The sequence below is a fragment of the Homo sapiens genome, chromosome 6 (genome assembly GCF_000001405.40).
Source record: "Homo sapiens chromosome 6, GRCh38.p14 Primary Assembly".
In the NCBI taxonomy this organism is placed as follows: Eukaryota; Metazoa; Chordata; class Mammalia; order Primates; family Hominidae; genus Homo; species Homo sapiens.
The window spans coordinates 25,013,411-25,037,966 of NC_000006.12; the positions used below are offsets into that span (position 1 = coordinate 25,013,411).

The following is a 24,556-nucleotide window of genomic DNA, read 5'->3' on the forward strand; positions in this document are numbered from 1 at the left end:
GGGGTGTGGACTGTGGTATACTGGGAGGGCAGCACCTACTCTGCCTGAAGGGGGAGCACCTGCTTTGCCTGAAGGGGCGGCCCCTTGAGCATCAGGGGACTGTAGGGAGGTGAGCCCACCTTCATCAGCTCTGCCAGTTTTACAAATAGACACTGAACACCTGAATTTTTTTTCATGCAAAATCTTTATGTTTTAAATGCTGACAACCAAACTTAACGGAAATGTAAATCATATTTGTGGGCCAAACAAAACATCTGTGGGCTGATATACTACAAGTTTGTGACCTGGGCCTATAGGGGTTCTCTGCACTGGCTCTTTTGTATAATTAATATCAAATTTTCAAATCAGAAAGTGAGTGTTGAAATGGTGCTTGGAGTTCCTGTAGTTCAGTCTCCCACTCCATGTAAAAAAGTCCTTTCTACAATAGGCACACTGAATTTAAGGAAGCTAATAATTCAAGCCAGACACTTGCACTTTCTTCGTTGCCTTTTTATTTTAAAAGATTATGGAGTGAGGAGTTAGGTAAAGAGATGGAGGTAGAGGGAAGTTTTGGGAAGCAGGCCAAAAATTTAGGACTGGAAGTGGCTTCAATGTTGATTTTGGGTTTTTGGATGATTCTCTCTTACGGTTACCCCTCGTATTTTTCAACCCTAATTTATCAAAATGCATCAGCAAGGTTGGGGCTTAGGTTTTCCAGAATTCCCAGAGGGAAACAGAATTTTAGGCCTGGAGCAGACCTTAGAATTAATGTTGTCAAATTTTCTTATTTTACAGATGAGGGAACTGAAATCCGTGAGCTTTAAACCGCTTGCTTGAAGACACGGCTGACATTTGTGGCTGAATCCTAATGTAGTTAATTTTCCTTTCAATGGGTCAACTTGCAACTGGTAAGTAGGATCCAAACAAAACTACAATCACCTTGAAATATCCTGTAGCCTTTTCTACCTCACATCTCAATAGCTCTCACTTTTTGAGAGACACAAAGATTTCTTTTTAAAGAAGCAGCTGGTATTTATTTGACTTCATGAGCTACCTTATCGAAATAATGAGATAACTAATAGAAGCTATTTCGAAATAGAGCCAACTAAAGATTGCACATGATTCTGGAAACAGGGTTGGCATGAACCACAGATAATCCCCACAAGTCATTTCACTAGTTCCCATTGTCCTAATAAAAGCCTTTGGAGGGGTGCTAATAAGTGTCAAATTAAACAATGTGTGTTTCATTTCCTCTATTTGCCCTCTGAAAGAGATGCTGGCAAAATGGCAGATACAGCAGTAGTGGGAAGGACAAGGAGGAGAAATGAAGGCACCAAAGAGCTCCAAAATTTAGACAGTCCATCCCTAAATGATCGAAAGTTGTGTGTAACATGGCACAAATTATTATGAGTTGAAATTTTTTGGTCACTAGGGACAAGGACACAAAACAGAGCCCACGAGTGTGTGAGAAGGGCCCGAGGGATCATTCAGTTTGTTTGCATTGTTGGGTTTTGTTTTTCTCTTGGTATGGCACCTACACACAAATTTGACGAGCCAAAATATGAATAAGAACATAGGCAGTCACAGTGACCTTTTATTAAATGCAGAGACAGTTATGTGTCACATGAAACATCAACAAAAGCCCAGTTCTGGTAGCCAGCAAGATTTTTTTGCCACATTTATACTTGGTCCTCTTTAATTATACAGAGTTGCCCCCAGAGTACTGAAATGATAGACTAGAACACGATGACTTCAGCAGGGGATCAGAGCTTTAGAGCTTCATCATTCATGTGAGCCAAGTGCGAAATTTCAGCCTGTCTCTCCTCTAAATGCAGTTAGGAGTCTTCGAAACCTTTTGTGTGAATCCAGGAGGGAAAATTGTCTGGCAAAGTCTGATAAGCATCGTGTCAAGAGCACATTTGTACTCTGGTAAGAAGCCCAGGCCAATTGCTGCTGGGTTGTCATGGCAACAGAAATACACACCATTTACACATCAGCTTCTGAAATGAGCACAAAATAACAAAACCTTTTCGACAGGATGGGAGGTGAAGGGAAGAGCAGCATCATCTGTGCAGCCTGGTGAAACGGTGTTTACGACAGTCTACACGGCACTACTGGGTATGCTGTCTCCTTGGATTGTGTCATATTTTTAACCCAGTGGGAAATTCATAGGATCCTCTTGACTCTGTAAAAACTGTGGGACAATTCAGTCACTTTTACCAAATCCTCATTTCCTTTTCAAACCCTGTTTACTAACTGATGCCAAATAGTATTATAGTAATTGGGAAATAAAGGAAGTCCCTCTCCTGCTTATTCCTTCCAAAGTACATTTCTTTACCTTTTCATGGAGGTTTGGTAGGATACTTACATATTGTAGAGGGAGGTGGAGAAAATACTCATATATTGTAGAGGGAGGTGGAGAAGGAGGAGGAGGTCTTTCATGGACCTACAGAAAATGAAGTTAATCATGGTTGGAAAGCCTCCCCTTAAAAACGCAGGTTTTTTGGTTTTTTTTTTTTTTTTTTTTTTTTTTTTAAGGAGTCTTACTCTGTCACCTAGGCTGGAGTGCAATGGCATGATCTCGGCTCACTGCAACCTCCACCTCCTGGGTTCAAGCCATTCTCCTGCCTCAGCTTCCGGAGTAGCTGGGACTACAGGCAGGCGCCATCATGCCTAGCTAATTTTTTTGTATTTTTAGTAGACACGGGGGTTTCACTATGTTGGCCAGGCTGGTCTCGAACTCCTGACCTTAGGTGATTCACCCGCCTCGGGCTCCCAAAGTGCTGGGATTAAGGCATAAGCCACCACTCCCCGTCCTAAAAATGCAGTTCTAAAAATGAATAAAAAATAACAATTCATTCCAGTAGTTCCTGAGGCCCAGGGCATCAACAAGAGATCAGAACTATATGGAATAAGCCCACAATGTTGAAAAATTTAGGCTGAATGGAAGCTGGATCCCTGAAGCTAATCTCAGCGATTTAAAGTAGAGAATAAGGATGGAATGCATCCCCTCCATTAGTCTTGAAGTGAAACCACAGGAACTCTATTCATGAGAAGTAAAATTAGCTGTATGTTCAGTTTTCATGACATTTGTTACTGCACTTAAGCATTCCACAGCATGACTTAATTGCTGCTGAAACACCTAAGAGGAAAGAGAAGGAAGGAAAATGAAATGTTTGATCTTTGAATGACAAAATAGTCACGAATCTGGGAACATTAAGTAACTAGAGATGGAGTTAGCGTCACAAGCAACACACAACAAAAGTCTTGTGTCTGGCGATAATAAAGTTCCCTTAACTGATTCATCACTTCTTCCCTTGCTATAATTATGAACATTCTTCAAAAAAGTTCTGACATTAAAATTTCAAACTCTTGTTACTTCTGCTTTTCTATCTCATAATTAGAAAAATTTATTAATTCCAATTTTAGTTCTGGGTTTCTAAAAATTTCCAGGAATAAAACCTAGGGAGAAAGATCCTCTCATTGTATATATCTTCTAGGGGATTCACATTCTGGGTGCTTCACTTAGACATGGTAAGTTGATAACATAGGGAAACAAAAGATCTAAAGAAAGTAGCCAGCCTCTCCCAGAGATTGCAAACCAGCATGCAGCCAGCTGGCAGACACTTTGTGGGGAGGTAGGGACTGGAACAGTGTTAAAAGAAGTGGCACCGGCACGGTGGCTCACGCCTGTAATCCCAGCACTTTGGGAGGCTGAGACGGGTGGATCACCTGAGGTCAGGAGTTCAAGACCAGCCTGGCCAACATGGTGAAACCCCATCTCTACTAAAAATACAAAAATTAGCCAGGTAATCCCCGTTACTTGGGAGGCTGAGGCACGAAAATCACTTGAACCCAGGAGGCAAAGGTTGCACTGAACTGAGATTGCGCCACTGCACTCCAGCCTGGGTGACAGACTCTGTCTCAAAAGAAAAATGGCATAAATGCCATTTAGGCAGAGCAAAAGCTCGGTTGTTTGCCACAGTCCTCCCCCATTTTTACTGTCTTACATCTAGATCGCCTGCTTTTTTCTGTTGCCTGCTTACAGGCTTTGAGTTCGCAGTTTATGCACACATTTGCTGATGCTCCCCAGATTTTCTTACTTTTGGTATGTATTCAAATCAACCCATTTCTTTAAGACTTAATTCAGGTGTCCCCTCTTCCACAAAGTCCTTCCGGCCCTCTGGTCTCACCTGGCCACGCCTATCACCCCTATTCAGTGCCCTTCAGTTTTAGTTCTTACTTGTTCTCTAATTTGTTCAGGAGTAACCAAGTGGTAAACGCCCAGAGGGCCAGGTTGTGATTCACTGTTCTTGTATTTTGACCCAGGAGAGTGGTAGCTGCGGTGTGGGAGCTCAGGTTAGCTCACAACAGTTTTTTGACAGATGGGAATGCAGGAATCAGCAAAGTGAGGGAGTGTGGACCCTGGCACAGCCCAGTGGGCTTGCATTGGTTTCAAAAGGAAAATGAAAAGTTCTGTAAAGTCTTCAGGACACCTATGACAGAAATATTCTCTTGGAAGTTCAACATTGATATTTTGGTTCTTAGTAGAATAGTTAAAACACGTTTCTGCTTAAAATCTCTAAGTACTGAGGGATGACAACAGGTAGGATGAACATAGAAATACAAGCAATTTCGTAATATCACCTAGGAAAGCCATAGCATTGAGCTTAAGTATTTGGTGACTGTATCAGTTTCCTGTGACTGCTCTTACCTCCTTGCTTATTTCAAAGTCTGAAGGGTTTCATGTTGGGTTTAGAAAAGCTGTAGAGCGGCGCCACCTGATGGTTACTACCCAGAGTGCCTGAACTGACCTTGCAATTTCAAACGCAGTATCTTGGCTAGCTCAGAAGACTTCTTCCTAATGCTTTACATGAAAAGAGCAAACTGAAATACGTTCCTCTTGGAAAATCAGAAACATAAAGAAAATGTTTTAAATTTTGACAGAAGCAAACCCACTCATATACAGAATAATCTACCACCAAAAAAGAGTTTGTATATGATATTCATTGAATACTATTAGATTTCAAATAGGTAATAAATAAGATTTTATTATCCAGTTTTTCTTTCTCCATTTTTTAAAAGCAGATGTTTTTTCTATATAGAACGCTCCTTAACCAATTGTTTGATTATACCCCTCACCCCTTCCAACAAACACAATGTATTTATTTATTAAAAAAATTTATCACTTGCCCTGTAGAATTTTCCACATTTTGGTTTGCGCGAATTGCTTCCTCCAATATGTTTAACTTGTTTGTATTCCTTACATTTCCTATAAACTAGTAGTAAGATCTCGATTAGATTTTATTAAATCCCAGTTCTATTTTTGGCAAGATAATAGGTGATACTCTATGATGCTATATTAATCAAATCCTGAAGCACGTGCCTAGCTGTCCTACTTATCATGATATTAAGATTGATTTGTGGGTAGAGGTAATGTCAGTTGGAATCCTCTATTATAAAGTTCCCCAATAACTTTTCATTGAGAGTTTGGATATCTATTGATGATCATTGTCTCCATCCATTGTTTCATGAGGACTGCAAAATAGTGATGGTATAAGTTTTATTGTTACTCATATACCTATTAGCTGGGATTTTCTCATCATCTATTTAGTTAGCTTGAAATACAGTTCAAACAGAAAAGAAAGAACAAATATGTGATCAATCTCTTTAAAATATATATTTAGAATAACAAAATAGTGTCCGGCAACCTTCAAAGGTGAGCAGTGATGTTTTGTGTTTCATTAGGAATTCATAGATTTTTATATTTGATGTATTTTAATCTATTGCAAGCATTATTCTTGTTGATGCCCAGATGGTCCCACATTTGACAAATGCATATGTTTTTAACATAAATACTCTAATATGTGGCATAGTTGTTAAGAAAGCAGGCATACTGTAATGTTCTCAGGAGAAATTATTACCACTCTCAAGGAAGGCGATTTAGCAATATGTATTAGGAGCCTTAAAAAACGTATGCCCTTTGATTTATACTCTAGGATCAAACATAAAGCAGCCTTTTCTATGAAAATAATCAGGAACATAGCTAATAATTGTATAAAGATATTAATTCTAGTGAAAAGTTAGAAAGAGAGGTCGGCGGGGCGCGGTGGCTCACGCCTGTAATCCCAGCACTCTGGGAGGCTGAGGCGGGTGGATCACGAGGTCAGGAGATCGAGACCATCCTGGCTAACACGGTAAAAAAAAAACCCCTCTCTACTAAAAATACAAAAAGTTAGCCGGGCGTGGTGGCACGTGCCTGTAAGTCCTGGCTACTTGGGAGGCTGAGGCAGGAGAATCACTTGGACCTGGGAGGCGGAGGTTGTAGTGAGCCAAGATCGTGCCACTGCATTCCAGCCTGGGCAACAGAGCAAGACTCTGTCTCAAAAAAAAAAAAAAAAAAAAAAAAGAAAAGAAAGAAAGAAAAAGAAAAAAGAAAAAGATGTCAATAAGTATGATAATATACTGTAGCTACCATATTAAAAATCCAGTTTTTTGAAGAATTCTTGTTATCATGGGGATTTTTTATATTACATTAATTGAAAGAAGACTACCAAAACTGAATACATGGTGTGATCCCAGCTATTATATATAATATGTATATAAACAAAAGACTAGGAAGTCATACTTCAAAATATTAATAGTTATATCTGGATAGTGGGATTACAGGATATTTTTATGTCTCATTTGTATAGTTCTTTACTTTAAAAATTATTTCCAGTATTATGTATCACAATATGTCTTATTAAAAATCAGCTAGTATTAAAGGTTTTTCTGGACAATGTTAATTTGCTATTGTTGGAATAATAAACCAAGTAAGTCATTTATAATAAACAAGTAGAATGTCTCCTTATGTGTTAGTGAAAATTGTGCAAGAAAAAAAAGAACACTTTTCCCTCAGCCAAATGATCCTTCTGATTTAGTTAGAGAATGAAAACAGAACTAAGCAGGATTTGAAATAAAACATGCAGGAGCCTTCCTGAGATAGGTTATATTTTTCCTTCTAGAATCTGCTCATTGCAATTAATTAGGCTTCTCCAAGAGTAAATTTTCCCTGTACTATCCAATAAGTCAATGTGATATTCATCTTGATTCTTACTGTGAATGAGAGCATCAACATAGATTAAGATGGATGTATCTGCCATTTGTAATGAGATTCCACAAGGTATCTCCACCCACCAGTTCCTTTCTGATACTGGCAATTTCTGATTTTTGATATCCTAATGTCTAGTTGTCACTTCCAAAAGTCTGAAAACCTCTAGTCCAAACCATTTATTAATCCTTAATCTCTGCCTTCCCCTCTTATTACCAAACAGGTATTCAATGTCCAAAATTAGATAGCCCCAATGAGATAAAAGAAAATAAAATTCACAAATAATATTGTCAAAACAACTTTTAACATGCTATTATAAGTTCTATTTCCTGGAAGCTCTTTGGGGACAAGGTTCATGTCTAGTTTAATTTTTTTCTTTTCTTTTCTTTTTTTAGACGGAGTCTCTCTCTGTTGCCCAGGCTAGAGTGCAGTGGCGTGATCTTGGCCCACGGCAACCTCCGTCTTCTGGGTTCAAATGATTCTCCTGCCTCAGCCTCCCAAGTAGCTGGGATTACAGGTGCCCACTACAATGCCTGGCTAATTTTTTTGTATTTTTAGTAGAGAAGGGGTTTCACTGTGTTGGCCAGGCTGGTCTCGAACTCCTGACCTCAGGTGATCCACCCACCTCGGCCTCCCAAAGTGCTGGGATTACAGGTGTGAGCCACTGCATCCAGCTAGTTTAATCTTTATTTCCTTTGCATATAGGACAGTGCTCATTTCGTGAGTATTTATTGATGATAGAACTGAGATGAGGAGGAGGCAGAAGAAAGGGAGAAGGAATGCATTTCTGGACAGGGTGACTATATGAAAAAAGGTATGAGCTTTGAGTGCTAGAGGCAGTGAGGAGACCAGCTCTAAGAAGAAGGATGATGCAAGGGGATTATAGAAATTAAGGCTGTGGCACCCAAATGCCCATCGATCAATGAGTGGATAAAGAAATTGTGGTATACATTCACGATGGAATACTACTCAGCTATAAAAAGGAATGACTTAATGGCATTCACAGTGACCTGGGTGAGATTGGAGACTATTATTCTAAGTGAAGTAACTCAGGAATGGAAAACCAAACATTGTATGTTCTCACTCATAAGTGGGAGCTAAGCTATGAGGATGCAAAGGCATAAGAAAGACACAAAGAACTCTGGGGATTCAGAGGGAAAGGGTGGGAAGGGGGTGAGGGATAAAAGACTGCAAATTGGGCTCAGTGTATACTCCTCGATTGATGGGTCAAAATCTCACAAATCACCACTAAAGAACTTACTTATGTAACTAAATCCCACCTGTTCCCAAAAAACCTATAGAATTAAAAAGATCTTTTAAAAAAAGGAAATTAAATTTGTGGCAAATGTGACAAGACTGTGGAGGGTCCCAACATTTAGCTGAGGAGTTTGTCTATAGTCTGAGTCAGTGAGAGACCAGATTGAAATCCACCCTATTACATGAAACATTCCTAAATTCCTTAATGCTTCAGATCAAGTAATTGGTTTATAAGAGAAACTTGGTGCCAAGGGAAAGATAAACATTAAACTTAAAAAAAATGGTCTGTAATTATGTAGAAATGAACCCATCACTTTGATGGGATTAGATACATTTGTTTTTAGGTATAATTTACATGGAGTAAAATTAGCCCTTTTTAGTGCATAGTTCTACCAGTTTTAACAAATGTATACAGTAGTGTAACCACCACCACAATCAAGATACAGAAGAGTTACATCATATGAAAAAAGTTTCCTCATGCCTCCGTAGTCAACCTCTCTAACCAGCCCTTGGCAACCAATGATTCGCTTTCTGTCCTAATAGTTTTGTCTTTTCCAGACTGTCTTATGAGTGGTATCATACAGTATGTAGGCTTTTGAGTCTGGCTTCTTTCACTTAGGATAATGCATTTGAGAATAATCCATGTGGTTGCATGCCTCAGTTCATTCATTTTTATTGCTGAGTCATATCTCATTGTATGGATATACCTACAGTTTGCTTAATCATTAATTCATAAGTAAAGGACAAATATTTCTTTTTAACGTAACACATATAACTAATGTGGTACCTTCCATTTTTTTTTTTTTTTTTTTTTTTTTTTTTTTTTTTTAGACAGGTTCTTGTTCTGTCACCCAGGCTGGAGTGGGTTGTGTTCATGGCTCACTGCAGCCTCAAACTCCTGGGCTCAAACTATCCTCCCACCTCAGCCTCCTGAGTAGCTAGACTACAGGTGTGTGCCACCACCCCAGCTAATTTTTTGATTGTTTTGTAGAGATAGAGTCCCACTATGTTGTCCAGGCTGGTCTTGAACTCATGGGCTCAAGCAGTCCTCTCCCCACCATCTCCCAAAGTTTTGGGATTACAAACATGATGGTGCAACCATGGCTAGCCCAAAATAATATTTATAAGGTTTAGGGATTTATTTACTAATTGTCAAAGACAGGTGAAGACAGGAAAAAGAGAAAATGCAAATAGAGTATGCATTAATTTCAGAAATGTGAATGTCACTGCCCAGTAGACTCGTTTTCAGAGCAGTCAATTTTTTTTTTTACTAGTGTATCTTTTAATTGTCATTTAATAGCTACCCACCACAGCTGCCCCCCACCCTTCCCTTTAATGACGACGTTTGCAGGCTTCAGGGGACCAGGGAACAAAGCTGGGGCCTGGTAGCCCCACTACGCTGCCAGCCGGGAAGAACAAGTCACAATTACAAATTATCACAACAATTAGCGCCTGTACTTGGGGGATCTGCAAATTGAGGAGGCTCCAGCTCCTCATTGTACAGGGGTCTATTTGGCAGTGACCTTGCTCTGCAGACGATGATATTCCTATTCCTTCAGCCTGAGGGAATTGATGTTGATGAACCCGGTGGCATCAATTGGCTCATAATCACCCTACACGTTCATGCTCACCGGCTCCTCGTTGTAGGGAGAGAGTGGGGACTCCCAGCCAAGGATGTACACCCGGCCCTTGAGGACGGACACCTGCGCTTTCCCTCCCACTTGCCCCTAGGACTTGGCGATGCAGTGGCGGACAAATTCACACTCAGGGCTATGCCAGAAAGCGGTGTACACCAGCTCAGCAAATTTCAAGCCCAGGCCTTGTTTGATTTTGCACACCTCCCAGTCCATGGTGAAGGCCTTGATGTCTAAATGAGTGTGGTAAAGGATGGTGCCTGCTGGGGTCTCATAGATACCTCGGGACTTCATTCCAGTGAAGCGGTTCTCCACGATGTCAGTACAGCCCACACCGTGTTTGTCCGCGACTTCGTTCAGGTACATGAAGAACTCCAAGGAGGTCGGGTGGGTGGAGCCATCGTTGACGTTGGTCACCTTCACGGGGACCCCTTTTTTAACTCGATCTCGAGGATGTCAGGGGTGTTGGGGGCTTTGACCGGTTCCTAGGTCTTCGTGTAGAGACCTGGAGGCACTTGGTTCTTGGGGTTCTCCAGGATTCCAGCCTCGTAGCTGATGTGCATGAGGTTCTCGTCCATGTTCCACGGGTTCTTGGGAGTGACCGGGATAGGAATCCCGTGCTGCTTTGCGTATTCCATCAGGTCATTACGGCCCTTGAACCGGTTGTAGAACTCGGGCATCCTCCAGGGAGCAGTGCCCTTTATCTGGGGGACCAGCGAGTACCAGGTGAGCTCAAACCGGACCTGATATTCCCCTTACCGGTGGCGCCGCGGGACACCCCCTCCTGCTGGGCGATTTCCACTTGTTTGCTGGCAATGCAGGGCCTGGCGAGAAAGGTGCCCAGGAGGTAGCGGTCCTCATACAGTGTGCTGGACTGGATGGCCGGCCAGATGAACTCTTCCACAAACTCCCTGATGACATCCTCAATGAACACCTTTTTGGCCCCAAGTTTCAGTGCCTTCTTCCTGGCTTCCTCGAAGTCTTCCTTCTGGCCAGTGTTGGCCAGGTAGGCAATGACATCATAGCCTTGTTCCTTCACCCACACGAGGATGCAGGAGGTGTCCAGGCCGCCACCATAGGCCAGAACTCTCATGGAGCCTTTGCTGGACATAGTGTCTGGGATTGGAGGCGCGAGTTCCCAGCGTCTGGAATCTGTCTTCAGGGTGCAGTGAACCACTCGGGCTCAGGCAGCAGTGGCAGGCGACAGAACAAGAGCAGTCAGATTTTTTAACCATTGTTAAAGGTTTCCAGTTCTGTGCCCTTCTGGAAGCAGTGTGGCCCCAGACTGACAACTGACCCTCAAAGAGGAAGGAAAGCCCTCACCTTGCTCCCCGACAATACTGCAGTGCTGTTTCTCCTAACTTGTAACTGATGCTTCCCTACTCTGTCCTTGGAGCTGGTGAGTATCGGACTTAGCTGAAGCTGATAATCATTTCTAGATTTTGCCAATGCTTTGCCTTCAGTTTCCTCTTTATGCCTGTTTTAATCCATTAATATCCTTCTCACCATGGGTTTTCTTTGATGACTTGGAAAGCTATTTTCTCTGTTTCTAGTTATTTATTGAAAATTGAAGTTGCCATCCTTTCAGCTCCACAACATTCTCTGAAGCCAAATTTGTGACTTCAGGTTGGATGTCGATGGGTGAGTAATCAGACATGTGGGGCCATGCCCAGTTTAACTTCAAATATTCACACTAAATGGAGGGAAGAAGAGTCAAGAAAAAAAGAGAGGACAGAGTTTGATATGTAGCGGTCTCTTTATTCATTTAATGGTAACAGGAAGCCCTCTCTGTCTCACGCCTGCTCCCACCCACAGGTCCTGGTGTACATGTGGGTGGTGGGAGTTCTAAAAATTTGATCTAAGATATAGTCAAGGGGGGAAAAAGGTAATTTAGAAGCTTCTATTTATTTAGCTTTAGGATTCTTCCACACAAATTCTAATAAGTGTCTGTGGTGTTACGGTTTCTGCTATTTGGAGATAGTACTTTGGATTTCTATAGAAACTCTCTGTTGAATAACAGTGCTCTGGAAGCCCAGAGCTAGGGGAATGCTGGGTGCGTGACGAGGCTTTTTTAGGGTTAGAAGTGTAAAAGCAATAGGACCTTTAAAAAAAAATGACAGTGACAGATAAAGAAGTTTACCCTCACCCCCTCCCAGCACTATTTGTGCCTTAAAAAGAGAAAAACAAAAGTTCTTTTTAATTTAAAGTGAATTTCTAAGGAGAAAAAAATTTAATTGTTTTTAGAATATAACTGATTAAAACGAAAACTGAATGTTGAACTTGAGAAAACCATACAAATTAAAGAAAATGCACATAAGGTTTAAAAGAAAAACTTCCTGTGATATGATGACTATGCATATTCAACACAACTTTGGAAAACATTGTTTTTTCACTTTAAGGAGCAATCTTTCCCTTCACTTAGTGCTCTAGTGAGCAATTGTTCAGGAAGAGTAAGAGGGTGGGTTTTCTTAGAGGTCAAGAATCAGAGCTGTAGGAGACTGAATTATGGGCTTGACTGGAAGACTGTGATACATTGATGAGCTTCTTCACGACTCCAAGGGATGATTTGTTTGTGCTTTGATACATGGTATTTCAAAACCAAATTGTACGTGTATTCACCAACAAAAGAAACTGAAGAAATTGCATGAGATTAAAAGTTACAAAGATTGTTGTTTTTTTTTTTTGTTTCTGAGTCACAAGCAAGTCATTTTTGAAAGCACTGTGCTCAGCAAGACAGGTTTATAAATGAATGCTACTCACAGGTGGAAACTAGAATGAACAAAACCACTAAAAGCTACATAAAAGGTTTCTTATTTTTCTGTACTGCATGATTAATTAGAGCCATTGGGTGAAAAAGAGAGGAAAATTGCTTCTCTTTGTTGTATTTAGCTGTTAGGTAGTTTTTATTAGATATTTATATAGGTATACCTTTTGTCACGTGTATAAATGAGAGCCAAGTTCATTATTTGAGGTCTCACTGATTGGGATTTATGATAAGTCACATAGAGATGGTTTTAAGTTTACCTCTGCTTAGCAAATGAAAAATAAAGGACTGCGAAGGGCGGATTGAAAAGATGAACCTTCTAAAGCATTTTGGAAGCTCAATATGCAAACAACCAAGACACTAATTAGAAATGCTTCCTGTTTATCCTTAAAGACAAGAAGCCTGAGAATTTCTAGAAGGCAATACTTTGTTACCCTGAGCAGCTGTACATTTTTCTTTTTCTGTATATTTTAAGAGAAAAGAGTTTTATGTGTACTTATAAAGAAATCATTTATATGAATTTCAGAATAAGAGTCCTGCAATTTCTTTGAATTTATGACCATTCATTGTCAAACGGAGATTACGGTGGTCTAAAATTCAAGACCATGACAACTTTAAAGGAGGTAAACAGAGGAAAATCTTGGGACATATGGCAGGAATGCCTCTGAAAGGAAGTTGGCAGGAGCTAAGAGGCTGAGGCCTGGGGGAAATAAATAATAACTCAAGTGCCCTCCAGTGGAGAGGAGGCTGAGAAGAGGCCACTCTGCCATGCTCCACAGGCCCTAGACCACTCCCGGGCTCCTCAGGTGTGAGTCTGTGCTGATTTGCTGACATCACCTCACAAGCCTCACAAGTCCTGACACAGCAAGGCCAAAAGAAACCACTCAGGCAAACGGCACATTCTGGGATCTACAAGTCTCCTATAAGTAGCTGTTCCAATTTCCAAATATTAAAACAAAAAAGCAAGCTCATTAAGAACTTGCTGATGCATTCTATTTTTAAAATAATAATAAAAAATAATTTAGGTGATACTGCATAGCTCACAAAATATTTCCACGTGCATTATCTTACTTAATGCAAACGACAATCGCGTAGGGGTGGATTCGATTCACCTAGCTTTGCTTACAAGACGGCCCAAGCATCGAGAAGCGAAGAAAAGCACTTAGCACACAGGACTGCACAGCCACCCAGCCCTCTGCGGGTTCCCAGGGGGAGGCGCTCGAGGGTGAAGTACAAACCCATCCCCAGGCTGCGAAAGAAAAGTCTACGAGCTGGCCTCTGTGGGAGGGTCAGGGCCCAGGGTATAAACATAGACATGCTGTGCAGCGGTTTCTGTTTCTTTCACGCACGGCACAGAAGGAAAAGCGTTTGGGGTTCAGCTCTGCCAGGAAATAAATACATAACCGGCCTCGTGGTGGCCATGCTGCAGGTGGCACACTCCGAGCAGGCCCCTTGGGGGATGAGAGGGGCATCTTCTGCTAAGCATGGGAACAGCCTTGGGCGCCCCCAGTGCTGGGGAGAAAGAGGGCCCCCCTCCCCTCGTGTGAGTCACCAAATCCCTGAGCGACTTAGGTGCTCCTGCCCCACCCTCTTCTCTACCTCAGCCCAGCCTCTCAAACACCTTGATCCGCAGACGCCCCCAGGTTGGTAAACCGACTGAACAAGAGGGAAGAGGCAAGTTCCGTGGGTCAGGGCATCACCGAACAGGAATCCCCGGAGACACGCCCAGGAGCCGAGGAGGGCAGAGGTGCTCCAGTCGGGCCGCTGAGCCATCCTTCTTGGCTGGGCTCTGAGAAGAAAGGGGAGTGGGCACTGTCCGCTGGAAGTGAGCTGGCTGCCTATGACCCCTAACAGCTCTAAGCCCGAGGGTTCTGCGTGTTCAGATTTCTTTCTGAGTGGCCCCTACCACCCTCGTCCTGCATAAAAAAGTATTCAGGGACTCAAGCTAGGCATTCTGTAGAGATTTGAACATTCGGTTAATTTTCCTTCACTGTATTCTCAGATACCTGGACATCTAGCACAGCGCAGGAAGATGCAGTTTCCAGTAGATTTCCAAATATCTCCTTAGCTGCCCTCAGACATCGCCAGCCCTTGTTCTGCCTCTAGGAGACTCCCAGAGCTGTGTGCATTTCAACCGGGCCCATGTTTTGAGATTTGGGGATAGGTGGTAGGGTGCATTTTCTGAATAGAGAGGGTGGCCACTGGAAGAACCATAAAATTAGGAGTTGATTGATTTGAGCTTGAGTCCTAGTTCCAGCAGTGAAAACCCGCTCTGGACTTGTACACATGTGTCTGAATGTTGGCTCTGTTCTGCCACACTGTGGCCTGTGACTTTTAATAAGTCCTTTAACTTCTCTGAGCCTCAGCCTCCTCATTTGCAAAATGGATACAATTACCAACCTCATAGGGTTGGACTGAGGATTAAGTGAAATAATGCCCAATAGGGGAGCTGGCACAATGCCTGATACTAATACTACCCCAAATAAATGACAGATGTACTGTCTTACTCCTTTCTCTCTGAGCTTCAGTTTCCACATAAGAAAAAAATTGGGGGGCAGGGATAGTACAGATCCTTCTAGCTCCTCAGGGTAGTTGTGAGTCTCCAATGAGATAATGCATGTGAAATCACTTCCACCACTAAGAATGTGAAGTTTTAATCAATTTTATCAGGTTGACACATTAGGGCCCTTCATCTGGTCCACACCAGGGTGGGAAAGTATGGGGAATAGTGGATCTGATTTGATGTGGGATGAGGTAAGGAAAGGCCCTGAGAATGGAGCTCTGTCTAGGACTGAGAGAAGGCACCATTGTTCAGTACAACTGGAGGCAGCAGAGTGCTGGGAGAGGGTGCCCTCAAAGAAATGACGAGGGCCGGGTATGGTGGCTCACGCCTGTAATCCTAGCAATTTGGGAGGCCGAGGCAGGTGGATCATGAATTCAAGAGATCGAGACCATCCTGGCCAACATGGTGAAACCCCGTCTCTACTAAAAACACAAAAAATTAGCCGGGCATGGTGGCGCGCATCTGTAGTCCCAAGTACTCGGGAGGCTGAGGCAAGAGAATGGCTTGAACTCGGGAGGTGGAGGTTGCAGTGAGCCGAGATCGCGACACTGCACTCCAGCCTGGCGACAGAGCAAGACTCCATCCCAGCTACTTGGGAGGCTAAGGCAGGAGAATGGCGTGAACCCGGGAGGCGGAGCTTGCTGCAGTGAGCCGAGATCGCGCCGCTGCACTCCAACCTGGACGACAGAGCGAGACTCCGTCTCAAAAAAGAAAAAAAAAAAAAAAAAAAAAAGAAGAAGAAGTAATGAAAAAAGGGGTGGATAGGAAACCAAGAACAAACTCTGGCCTGGACACAAAGGAATGTTCATGTATTGACTGTACCGAGAGAGTGAGTGGTCTGACTGATGCCTCACAGATGAGCAGGGGCAAGACCAGGAAGCAAGTCCCATACCCTGAGCTGGGACCCTCCGTGCCCCACATCACTTCTCAGATGACACAGAAATAGAGACAGCACTGGGAGTGAGGGCGAAGGAAAAAAACTATGTAGCCTTACCCTGAAGATTATGCTTCTCATCTTAAAAAAACCAGATATCTTCATTTTGTAACTGCTGTGGGGAAATAGAAGAAAATTGATTTTTTTGTCCTTTGAGGGAATTATAATGATGTCTGGGCTACTCAGTTAAAAGCTGGGTTAAAAACATGAAGTTAAACTATATGCTTTTCTTAAGAGATCAAGATATTCTTTCACTCTTTCCCTTCTGTGTGCAGGATGTTATTGTTTTAGATTGAAAACACACTTTTAACTCAAGGTAGGGAAAGAAAATGGAGTGGGAGAACTAGACAGCCAGAAAGCTCTTCAAACCTAGTGGGACTCGTGGTTCCTCCATAACTTGGTCTTAGCATGACAGGACCGTTACAGCCTCCACTATAGTGTCTCTCCCCTCTCTCCCATCCTTGTTCTTCTGTATCCTCCTACCTCTGCTTGTCTGTGTCAGCCTGGCTGCAGGTCTTAAATGGGGGGAAAAGATCTCTGTTTTCTGTACAGGTTGTATAATCATATACAATGTCAAAGAAAAAAATGTAGGGTTGACGACTGGCCTAATACATTCTGAATCATAATCATTTACTGCTGATTGAATAAACTGTCCCTTCGTAGTTGCCACTGATGATATTCCCAGGGTACACATGAGGTGGAGTGGGATTCAGAGGGTTCAGAGTCCCTCGTTTGCTCAGAGCTTCCCCTGAGAGAGGACCAGAGCTATGGATAGAATTGGGGTGCCCCAGAACTTGGGGGTTGTCCCCTCTGATGATCATGTTTACTCATGCTTTTTGGTGATTAGAGTTCTTACCACTTGCAAATAACTATACTTTATAAGAATACATCTAATAATGGGATACTACTCAGCAATGAAGAGGAACAAATGTGCATGCAACATCTTGGATCATGTTAAGTGAAAGAAGCAAGACTCAAAAGGCTACATACTGTATGATTCTGTTTATGAGATATTCTGGCTTTTTTTTAAAAGGCATAGGGTCTTGCTGTTTTTCGTTGTTGTTGTTTGTTTGTTTTCTTTGAGACGGAGTTTGGCTCTTGTTGCCCAGGCTGGAGTGCAATGGCGTGATCTCGGTTCACTGCAACCTCTGCCTCTTGTGTTCAAGTGATTCTTATGCCTCAGCCTCGCAAGTAGCTGGGATTACAGGCATATACCACCATGCCCGGCTAATTTTGTATTTTTAGTAGAGGCGGGGTTTCTCCGTGTTTTCAGACTGGTCTCGAACTCCTGACCTCAGGTGATCCATCCACCTCTGCCTCCCAAAATGCTGGGATTACAGATGTGAGCCACTGCACCCAGCGCCGGGGTCTTGCAATTGCACTTGCCCAGGCTGGAGTGTAGTGGCTATTCACAAGCACGATCCCACTACTGACCAGTACAGGAGTTTTTACCTGCTCTGTGTTTGACCTGGGCCAGTTCACCTCTCCTTAGGCAACCTGGTGGTCCCTCGCTCCCAGGAGGTCACCATATTGATGTTAAACTTAGTGCACACACCCGGTCAGCAGAGCACACTATACCCCAGAACTCCTGGGCTCAAGCCATCCTCCCGAGTAGCTGGGACTACAGGCCTGTGCCACTGTAACTGGCTTATGAGATATTCTGGAAAAGCCAAAATGATAAGGACAGAAAACAGATCACTGGTTGACAAGAGCTGGGGAAAAGGATTGACTCCAAAGGGGCATGAAGGAATGTCTGGGGTGATGGAACTCTTCTATATCTTCATTGTTGTGGTGGTTACACGACTATAGGTGTTTGTCAAGACTCATAGGACTGCTCACTAAAAAGTATGCTGTGCTCTATGTAATTACACCTCAATAAACATGACTAAAAATTTTTTTAAACTATGAACAAAGATTGACTGATATATATATATATATACATATATATGAGTGTTTAGAATAAAGTATACAGATGTCTGCAATTTATTTTTAAAGCATTAAAAATAAGATTTATCAAAGGATTGATAGATAGGTATATGGTTAGGTATGTGATGTAGGTGGTAGTTATATATATATATATATATATATATATATATATATATATATATATATATATAAAATATCCATAGAATATATATATATTCTATGGATATCCATAGAATATATATAATATCCATAGAACATATATATTATATATAATACAAAAAGGTTATATATATATTTAGTATATTCACTGTATAATTATTTCAACTTTTCTATATGTGAAACGTATTAATAATAAAATGTTGGAAAACATTTGAAAATACATCTAATGTATTTTCTTCACCACCTATGCCATTTAGAGGGTTGCTTGTAGACCCATACACTTGCTTTCATACTCTCTGATGAGTTCAAGAGTACTCTCCCTCTCCCCTTCAAACCATCCTAATAGGAGTAAAGTTTCCCTTGGTCCAGAGGGGAAGAGCTGAGCTCTTGGGGTTCTTTGCCGACTCACTTACATGAATTTACTGTCCTCCCTTTGATGCGGTATCAGCAAGCGAATCCTTTATGGTGTTTTTTTTTTTTTCACTTGCTTGAAAATTGAAGGATTGGATTAATTTCACTCAATTTGTAACAAACCTCAGGGAACAAGCTTTGGACAGCAGCAATTCAAAGTGTTAGCAAGTATCTCAGACTCCGTTTTTCTTGATATTGCCTGGTTCTTTCTGCAGGCTCAGGCTTTGTGTGCCTCTTTCCATCCCACCCTGTAATGGAGATAAGAACTAAGCCACCTGCTCCCAAGCACAAGAACCTCTCTGGTGCCTCAGAAACCAGGCACCCCTGGAGCCAACCCTTGATGGGATTGGAAATGGTCTTCTTTCCAAATCGCCCTCTGTTTGGTGGAGGATGAAAAGATCTCCCCTTCAAAGAGTATGTGAGGCATAGTTTTTTGATAATAGATATGCATACCTTCTCCCGATTACCCTGACCTTTAAAATAGCCCAGTTTCCAGCTGGAAACAGAAAGAGCAGCACAGCATGGCTGGAGAGTCACAGACATCAGGCCTCCATAAGTAAGTACGTGGACGGTTCAATTCCCAACCAATACAATCCGCTTTACAATTATAATCATTTTTTAATATTTAAGTGGTTCAGATTAGATACACTTAAAGTGTCCCAAACTCTACAAGCTTTCATTTGGATTTGGGTATATGGATCCTGTTTGAAGAAATGTATTGCTATTTATTGACATAAAAAGGTACCCAAGTTATGTTGTGAAATGAAACAGTAAGTTGTAGAACATGGTATTATTCTGATCCCACTTAAAAATATATTTAGCTCAGCACTTTGGGAGGCCAAGATGGGAAAATTGCTTGAGCCCACAAGTTCAAGACCAGCCTGGGCAACAGAGCAAGATTCTGTCTCTACAAAAAATTAAAAATTAGCCGGGCATGGTGGCACATTCCTGTGGTCCCAGCTGCTTGGGAGGCTGAGGTAGGAAGACGGCTTGATCCCAGGGGTTCGAGGCTGCAGTGAGGCTCCAGTGAGCCGCGACGGCGCCACACGCCTGGGTGACACAATGAGATCTCATCTCAAAAAAAAAAAAAAGTTTTATGGTTTTAGCTCTTATTTTTAACATTTAAAAAATGGATATTTAACTTAATGGGCTATAATCTATTAACATCATTGTTTATTTGATGCTCACAGTGTCCCAGTTTTGCCAGTAGAAGCCCCTCCAAGGCAGCTCCCCAGTCCTTTTGACAGATTCCCTTAATTTTTTGAGCACTTCTTTATTTTCTGGCACAAGGTGTTTCAGCCTCATCTTGTAATTTAACTGCTGCAGCCCTGGTATCAGCATTTTTCCAAGAAGCCCTCATTCCATTTGGTGTGAGTGATATTTAAAAACCAACATCTGGGTACTAAGTTGCTCATTGCTATTGGGTATTACTGCTTCTAGATCCTTTTAGTGGACAGAGCTAGGAAGTATCTGTGTCTGTCTGTCTGTCTAGATTATTCTAATTCCAGGGCAACAAATAGGATTCTTTTTTGTCTTCACTCATTTTATATTTGTATCTGCCTTCTCCCACAATGAGAACTCCCAACACATCCTACAGGCTCCCAACACATCCTGTAGGTACTTGTTTGCTTAGTTCTACAATACACAATATAGTTTTAGAATTGTTATAACTGTGGTCTACAAAAAACAAATCTGCTAAACAGAGTTTAAGATTTTTTTATTATTTTATTCTCTTTTTTTTGGTTTTTTGACTGAGGATATTTAGCCAAAGTATTGTGTTCAAATGTTACTTGGATTAATTCTTTTCTTTTTCTTCCATGTAGTTGTGCTATTCATTTGAAATACAGTTCATTGGTTTCTGTTTGCATTCAATTTGCATTTTTTCTCATACTTGTTTATTTAATTTTATTTTTGAATGTATAGAGAATTGGTAACGTTTTAAAACAAACTACAAAAAGGTTTTATATATATATATATTTAGTATATTTTACAAAAGAAATGGGAGTGCTACGCTGTACGGGGTGAGGGCTGGGAATTCTAGATGACTTTCTCTCTGTTGTATGTTTCTGTATTGTTTGATTTTTATACAACATGCGCATATTAGCTTTGTATTAGATGAAAACAAAATCAAGACATATTTTTCAGTGCTACTGCCCAAGTTTACAGTTTTGACAACTGTTGGGGGGGTGGGTAGGGTAGGAGGGGGTAAGGGGTGTGTATATAGTTAACATGTTCTTACGCAGTGAAACAATTTCTTGGATCTTGCTATTTCAGAGGAAAAACTGGTACTCACATAGTGGGTTGAATCTAGGCTAACATATTTCAAGATGCTTTGCATTCCCTAAGATCCTCCTTACCCCCAACTTGATACACTAGCTTAATGCTTCTGAGAAAATTTGCTATTCTGGTAATTTTCTGTTACCAACCAGAGACCAAGTTATCATTCTAGTGATTAACTTTTGGGCTCTTTAGATCCTTCATCAAACAAACAACCTGAGAATTACAGACTTCAGAATCCATCGAGGCTCTGAGTTCTCTAATCCCTCTGCTGGTTTCATTTTCTTTTTTATGTTTGTTAGCTGTATTTGTATTTGCTGCTTCTTCCTCTCCTTTCCTTTTCCCTCCACACCCTCTCTTTTGTCCATCCTCGGCTGGAGACAGCTAAAATATCTGTCCAGATCATGTACATACAAAGAGAGCACTTTCTCAACCAACGGACCTCCCTGAATTATTCAAAGTACCTTCCATTCTCCAGTTTCCCATCATTTTTCTTCCTTGACAGTATAAACTGGAATTGGACATTTGGCAATTGTACCCATGGATTTAATCATTCAGGCAGGAAGGAAGAGGGTAAGCCTTCTACAGAAGCAAGTATTCTTCTGAATGATGAGAAAATAGGTAACAACATGTTTGAAGGTATATAAATAATTTTTATGCCAGTATAAACACTAGGGTCCCTAAAACAAAAAGCATTCTCTGTAATTGGCAGAGCTGTTGGTAAACAAGATTCAGAACTGGGGAGAAACCCAGGCTTTGTGGGGCCCAGCCGCCTGTTGTCTGGGATGAGGCTGTTAATGGATAAACTTAGCAGGTGTCTAGACTGAAACCCAGGAAAATATGTGACCTATGAATTATACAGAATGTTCTAAAAGGTTTCTTTCTTTTTTATACTTGGGGTAAACTCCTCACTGACCTCCTCTCAAATCTTTAAGCTTGTAGCTTAAAAGAAACAGAAACCAAGAGAGGAATTTTCCTGGTATATCCTTCTCCACTTCAGAGCAGAGAAGCCCAGCCTGAAGCCTAAAATCGCAGCACAAGGGATTTGTCAGTCAGTAGCAATTCTGTTGGTCAGAACGGCAGCAAGAGACCAAATCAGCAGGTTGGAAACGGCAGCAACACGGTTTCTGCTGTGGTCTGGGACACTTGGGTGCTTGTATCCACGCTGAAAAGCTAAATCTGCAACCGTAGTGCCTCCCCATACCGGTACAAAATCCCAGAGTGGAGGAGGCCGGGGGAGAAACATGAGTGTGGTCAAGGCCTGACCCTTGCCAGATAACAGGTGAGCCAGGACAGAAAGCTGATAGGAAGCTGGGCTGCTCTGTAAATTGACGCTGGATCTCTCTGCAAGCAGGGGCCATCTGCAGAGTGGGTAGCCTTGTGCAGATGGAGGACTGTGGGAGAGGTGCCCACATATTCTTCCTATCCCGGGCCCCTCTGTCTCCCTGAGATCTTGCCTTCAGGTTCTCATCTGAAGACAGTGGTATTTAGAAGAAAATCTAAGACTGTTTCTATGAATCAGAGTGCCTTCCAGAGCTGCACGTGCAGTGAGGAATAGCCAGCTGGGTTCTTACCTCCTTGTGTAGAATTGTCAACCCAGGATGGTGGCAGACAGGAGAGCCCTCCTTCGAAGTCCCACAGCCCCAACCACAGTCCAGGGCATCGTCTGTGGGATTCAGACTGCTGCTTGACCAGGTCCCCTTGCCCAGTCACAATTAAGAATGCCATCACACTGAGTCAGGAGAATGGCCGGCGAAGCAGAACAAGACAATTAAGTCACATTGACACTGGGAGGAAGTCGCCAGTGGTATCTCTGAGACAGCAGATTCCCTAATCTCAAGTGCATATCAGCTTTGTCACTGTTGTCTTTTCAGTGGGACAGAGAAAACTCATTTCCATTCCTCTGATTGGAGTCCACAAAAAGTGCTAACCAGTGGCTGCCTCCATCAAAGCTCTACCTAACAGAGTTCAACGGGTTTTTGTTTTGTTTTGTTTTGTTTTTTGAGACAGCATTTGCGCTGTCACCTAGGCTGGAGTGCAGTGGCATGATCATAGCTCAGTGTAACCTCCAGTTCCTAAGTTCAATCAATCCTCCTGCCTCAGCCTCCTGAGTAGCTGGGTTTACAGGCACACACCACCATGCCCACTAACTTAAAAAAAAATGTTTATAGAGACAGGATCTTGCTATGTTGCCAGGCTGGTCTCTAATTCCTGGCCTCGAGTGATCCTCCCACCTCAGCCTCCCAAAGCATTGGAATTACAGGTGTAAGCCACCACGCTAGGCTAGAGTTCAACTTTTTAAAGAGGCGAAACAAGTTCCAAGTGGGCTCTGTCATCTGGTTGCATTTACTTGTACTGAAAATAGCCTGGAGATCCTCTGTGGGGGCAAACACTCCATTTTCCCAGAAGAACAGGAGTCACACCCCTAGGGGCCAAGATCAGTTTTTCCCTAGTGTATCTGTGTTGCCTCCTGTGTGGTGTGGTGTAAGCCAGCTGAATGTGAGGGTAGGGTGCCTGGCTGAGGAAGATGGGGATGCCTTCTCCAGTATGACATGTCTCCCATTATTTTGGGAAAAAATGTGGAGGTGGCAATGGTAAGCCCTTCATACTGCCTCAAATGCCACTATTACCATTTTTAGGCCCTCAGCTCCCAATAGCTACATTGCCAGGAACTGTGCTAGGCACTTGACATATTTTATGTCTTTTAATCCCCTCCAATAACAATGGGAGGTGGGTGTTACTGTAATAAGCATTTTAAGGTTGAGGAAGTGGGCATTCAGGGAGGTGGAATAAATTGCCCACAGGCCAACAGCTAAGAAGTTGTAGAAGCAGGATTTGAAGCCAAATCTCCTGGTTGTCAAAGCTTATATACTTTTCAGGGTTTCTTTCCTTTAATCGCCCACCCCAACTGTGGCAGACTAAAGGAAAGAAAGGCTCTCGGGGCATTCAGTTATCTGTGCCCACCCCTCATTCCCGTGCCCTGCCCTGACCCTGCTGTCATCATGTAGAAGGCCCAGGCACCCACGGGCTGTTGCTGTGTCTATACTCCTCTTTACCTGGGCAGGTCACAGGTAAGCAGCTTGACAGGGTTTACAGGACACCAGATAGGTCCTTCTCCCGAATGTCTGCTCAGTATCACACATGTGTGTCTTTGTAGTGACCTTTGGCCTCTTTTAAAATTCAAATATCCCTAAGAAGGGTAACATATTACCGTTCTCATACCTTGGTTTGATTATTATTATTATTTTTTTACTACACTGCTATGGACTAGAAAAGAAAATAAATATTTCATTACAGATTCTGGGGGTGAAAGGAAGAAGTGAGGAAGGCTTAGGGAAGATGAACTTTGGGATCCATTGCTTTACTATGAGTTTAATTTTGATGGAACCCAAACGGTTATTGAGTAGATGAGGTACCAGGTATTTTACTAAGGGTTACAGGCATGCAGAGCTTATTAAGGATTTGTTCTCACCTGGGGAGATTTGAATATGGTCCGGGTATTAAATAATATGTGGGGATCATTGTTAATTTTATTACGCAGTTATGTAGAAAAATGTAC

The 24,556-nt window shown here is 42.2% G+C and overlaps 1 protein-coding gene, 1 long non-coding RNA gene and 2 pseudogenes across 7 annotated transcripts in view, besides 1 other annotated feature; all 4 read right to left on the bottom strand.

The window, feature by feature from the left end:
- The window catches only part of RIPOR2 (RHO family interacting cell polarization regulator 2), a 237,885-nt gene that overhangs the window by 209,127 nt on the left and 4,202 nt on the right, over positions 1-24,556 (bottom strand). The gene's annotated exons all lie outside the window — the stretch shown is intronic.
- LOC102724765 (uncharacterized) lies at positions 1,542-22,731 on the bottom strand. 2 transcript variants are annotated; one of them, NR_187802.1, is made up of 3 exons: positions 22,572-22,731; positions 2,348-2,425; positions 1,542-2,173 (listed from the first exon to the last, which is right to left on the bottom strand). It is a non-coding gene; the product is annotated as an uncharacterized LOC102724765 (long non-coding RNA). The 2 variants fall into 2 exon arrangements; NR_187803.1 differs by lacking the exon at positions 2,348-2,425.
- On the bottom strand, positions 9,599-11,174 carry ASS1P1 (argininosuccinate synthetase 1 pseudogene 1; annotated as a pseudogene).
- Positions 14,042-14,281: an enhancer, noted in NCBI's record as "active region_24162". NCBI's record gives its function as "activates an Ori minimal core promoter by ATAC-STARR-seq in GM12878 lymphoblastoid cells {active_cell/tissue: GM12878}" and the evidence as "EXISTENCE:reporter gene assay evidence [ECO:0000049][PMID:35858748]".
- On the bottom strand, positions 17,599-17,877 carry RN7SL334P (RNA, 7SL, cytoplasmic 334, pseudogene; annotated as a pseudogene).